At 38.5% G+C, this 4,768-nt stretch overlaps 1 annotated feature.

Moving 5' to 3' along the window:
* Positions 3,294-3,588: an enhancer, noted in NCBI's record as "tiled region #11934; K562 Activating DNase matched - State 3:PromF". NCBI's record gives its function as "activates a minimal TATA promoter and a strong SV40 promoter by Sharpr-MPRA in K562 cells {active_cell/tissue: K562}" and the evidence as "EXISTENCE:reporter gene assay evidence [ECO:0000049][PMID:27701403]".

Raw genomic sequence — 4,768 nt, forward strand, 5'->3', positions numbered from 1 at the left:
CTCAACTGAAATCCATGTGATTTTTTAAGAAGTACCTCTAGGTGGCCCCAGAGTTCTGCTTCTGCTCTGAAATCTGGGTTCTTAGTCTTCACTAACATGGCGACTCCAGGGGAGGGGGGAGGGATAGCATTAGGAGATATACCTAATGTAAATGACAAGTTAATGGGTGCAGCACACTAACATGGCACATGTATACATATGTAACAAACCTGCGCGGTGTGCACGTGTACCCTAGAACTTAAAGTATAATTAAAAAAAAGAAAATTCCATCCAATAACTAGATAACATTTATTAAAATAAATAGCAAAAAAAAAATTATTAGCAAAAAAAAAAAAAACATGGCGACTCCAAAACATTTTCATCGTGATAATTACTCATTTATGGCAAGCTATAGCCCCTTACCTCCATTCCATTCCATCCCATTCTAACATAATAATAAGTTTTTTTAGTGCTCTTTTTTTCACAACACATTTCTTCAATTCTCCTCACACTTAGCTCTTGTCTTGCCTTTCCTTTAGATGATTTAGCACAAAAAACATGAATCAGTAGAGTCTCCTAATACTCCATTTTGTATATAGCATATAAAGTACTTGTTAAATATCCTGACTGATTTTTGAATTTTCATTTGCTTTGAGAAGGACAGTAAAGGCACTTTAACCGTGCCTGGGCACCATTTTTCCCATGATAAATGGCAGATTTCAAGAATGTGGCTTCTTCATCTCTGGCTGAACCTCCACTTGAAGGGCTTTGGTTATTCACATAAGACTTTCCATGACACATTCAGGGCTAATTCACAGGGCATGTTTGCCTGAGACAGCCGGATCTCCAGGGGTTGGACTGAGATGTTAGAAACCTCAGTGTGAGGATGGGAACTGGCTTCAGAGTACAGTTTTAAAGCGCTTGTTTTTCTGAACCGGGGAACCAGAGTTCAGCAGCATCTTCAGAGTAAGGACCTTCTGCTTGGGGATCAGTATCAGGAATATTTCCATGCAAAACTCTACTCATGTCCTCCCCTGTAGTTTTTTTTTTCCCCTTCTGTGACCAGTCCTGTCTGCCATTCTTGCTAATTCTTTCTATGCTATTAAGTGGAACAAGAATATTTACTGATGATTGCCTAACACACCATGTGTCCCAAAGATGTTTTAGTTTAATGATATAGTATCTAATATTAGAATAAAACAGTGGTTAATACCTTGGGGTTTAGAGTAAGAGAGATGTGTGCTGAATTCTAGCTCTGCCATTCGCTAGCTGTGCCACCTCAGAAAAAGTAGTTGACTCCTTTGAGTTTGGTTTCCTAAATGATATTATAAAAACAATACCTCAGGGCCTTTCTGCGAGGATCAAATAAAATGTTAGTGGATATAATGATTAGCACTGAGAGTGCATGCCATAAAGTGGTAGCTCTTACTATTTTAATATTGATTATACTGAAGTGAAATTAATGGCACCAGATAGGAACAAGTTTAAAGCCTGAATAGAAACACAAGATGTGGTACAGACTCCATGCTTTCAACTTGTTCCTATCTGGTGCCATTACTTTCACTTCAGTATTTCACTGTTTATGAATTGTGAGACCTTGGGAACATTACTTAACCCCCTATGTGTTTGTCTCTTCATCGGCAGATTGGGGAGAATAGCTACTTCTTTTGGGCCATTGTGAAAATTAAAAAAAAAAAAAAACATAATGTACTTAAGAAGGATATAGTATATAACCAATACACAATGAAGCTTCTAATCATCCCTCAGAATGAGCTATCTGTGTACAGAAAAACCTGATTTTAATATGTGCTTTTTCATTTGTTAGACATTCTTAAGTAAAAAAGCAAAGCACTCTGATTGAGGGTGGCAAGCTATGAAAATTTAGCCTCTAAGCAACAAACTGGACAAATTTTGAGAACAGGACAGAGAAAATGGCTCTCATATCTTTCATATCACACACATTTTTTCCCAGATTGCTTTGCAAGTTATTATAGGGGACATGATATTTAAATAACTGTCATTGCATGTAGGTGTCCACAGATTTCAGGAAAAGGAAAAGTTGGAAGTAGAATTAGATATTGCTGAGTGTAAATAACAATCATGGGGAGGTTGTTTAAAAATGCAGAACCTCAATTCTCGTCACACAGAGTCTAAGTATATATAGGTCATGCTCAGGAACCCACATTTTCAGAAGAATTCCAGGTGATTCTAGTACCCTACTTTGAGAATCATGACAGTAAGGACCTTTAAAACTTGTAAAATTCCATTTCTAGTAACTCAGACTCTAAAACCAAGATGTTATCACTACTTATTCTAGTCTTAAAGAATGTGCCCAACTATTTGTGTACAAATATATGTGCAAGAATGTTTGCTATTGATAAGGGTGAAAGTTCAGCAGCAGTATAAATGTCCAGCAATAAAGGATTCCTTAAGTAAATCATGTCAGTTCTGTCTACATGCTGGAATGCTATGTAGCCATTCAAATTAAGACAATTTTTACATGCTCATAATTTAGTGGTAAGTGAAAAGAGAAGATAGTGTAGATGTATACAATATGCATCCATTTGTCAAAAAATATATGCACAGAGGCTAAAGGATATATGCCAAAGTGCTATTGTGCTTAGTTCTGGATAGAAGGTTATGGATAATTTTACAATTTCCTTTGTGCTTTCTAGTGCATTCAAGATTTTATGCATTTAATGTCTGTTAGCTTCACGATTAGAAATTTTAAAGTATATTTTTAAGATTAAAAGTGTCAGTATATACATGCATTGCTCAGTAAATACAATTGCCAAGAGAACTGTAGTAGGCAGAATAATGGGTCTCCCAAAATATCCATGTTCTAATTCTCAGAAACTGTGAGATCTTACCTTACGTGGCAAAAGGGACCTTAAATATCTGATCAAGGGTTTGTCAGAGACCTTAAGATAGAGATCATTCCAGTATCTGGTGGACCCAATTTAATCAAATGAGTCCCTAAAAGCAGAGAATTTTCATGGGCTGCGGTCAGAGAGAGATGCAATGACAGAAGGGTCAGAAAGACAGATGTGAGAATGACTCAACCTGCCTTTGCTGACTTTGAAGACGGAGGAAGGGAACCCCAAGACAAAGAATGCTGATGGTCTCTAGAAGCTGGAAAAAGGAAGAACACAGATTTTCCCCTCAGGGCTCCAGAGAGGAGTGAAGTTCTTACTTACATCTTGATCTTAGCCCAGTGAGATCCGTGTTGAACATGAAGCCCAGAGAACTGGAAGATGATAAATGTGTGTTGTTGTAAACTGCTAAGTTTGTGGTAATTTGTTACAGCAGCAACAGAAAACTAATACAAAAGCAAAGCTAAACATCTCCCAACGTTTAATCTTTTTACCGCTGTGTAGACCCTCTGCCACAATCAGTAATCAAAAGTTTTGACTCACCCTGATGCATACAAAAAGGAGTTTTACTATCTCACATAACCAGAAACAGGATGGACTTTATCACAGAGTCACAGAACTCTGGCTGTTGACAGTTCTCTTGGCCCTGGACTCTACTGTGTATTGACAAGATGACTGCCCCAGCACCAGGCCTCACTTCCACACACGATAATGTCCAGAGAAAGAGCAGGACTGTCTCTTCCTGTGTCTTCTACATGAGAGTGAGGAGGTTTTCCTAACACCCCTCAGCTATGTATGTTGTGATTCTGAGCATGAAATCTAGAACCAGACTGACTGGATTAGAATAACAATGCTGCTATTTAGCAGCTGTGTAGCCTTTCTTGGACAAGTTACTTAACCTTTTTGTGCCGAATTTTCCTCAACTGTAAGGTGGAATAAGTACATTTTATTCTACCTAATTGAGGTATTACATAAGTTATTATTTGTATAGAGCTTAGAATATTAGTTGGCACGTAATGTATATAGTAGATTGTTGTAGTATTTGTTCAAGTCTCCACGTATTCACATCCTTGGGTCCCTTCCACACTGACTTTGGGCTCAGCCATGTAACTTGCTTTGGCCAATGAAAGGATAGTAGGCATGACATAAGCAGAGTTATGCAAAGCACTTGCTTATTGGGGGCTTGCCTTTTCTTGCTACTCTGAACACCGTCATATGAAGCAGCCCAGGGCAGCCTGCTGGAGAGGAAAGACACACTGCTTCTGTTGCTCTGTCCAACAACCAGACATACGAATGAAGCCATCCTGGACTAACCAGTCACCAGTCATCCATCCAGCTGACCACAGATACCTGAGCAAGTTCAGTCCAGATTAGCCAAGTCAGCCCAGACCTGTAGAGCCTCACAGCCAACCCATAGAATTGTGAAATAAATAAAGTCACTCAGTTTTGGGGGTGGTTTGTTATGTACCAAATATTAATTAAGGCTAACTGATACAGTGAGCACTCAATAAGAATTAGCTATAATTTGCTATTGAGCTTCATTGACCAATCACCAACAATGAGGTGATTAACGAAACAGTCATAACAATGATCAATTTAAACCAGAGGCTCTCCACCCTGGTATCATTAAAGGTAGGTGAAGCATTAGCAAGATACAAAGGTATTTCTAGTGTGCAGTCAGAGTTGGACACATTTGATTTGGAGTAATCATTGAGAGGGAATATATATTGATATGTCAGTCATTATGATCATTACATGCATGGTCACATAGCTGGTCAATGGCAGAGCAGTGACATTGGCTAGATCTCCGGAGACCCTGCCTGGTGTTTTTTTTCTATCATTTCATGCTGTGGAAAACAGTGATATCCTCAGGCATTCACAACAAGTTAATTACTGGGCATATTGTCCAACAGCAG

This window comes from Homo sapiens, chromosome X, assembly GCF_000001405.40.
Source record: "Homo sapiens chromosome X, GRCh38.p14 Primary Assembly".
Classification (NCBI taxonomy): domain Eukaryota; kingdom Metazoa; phylum Chordata; class Mammalia; order Primates; family Hominidae; genus Homo; species Homo sapiens.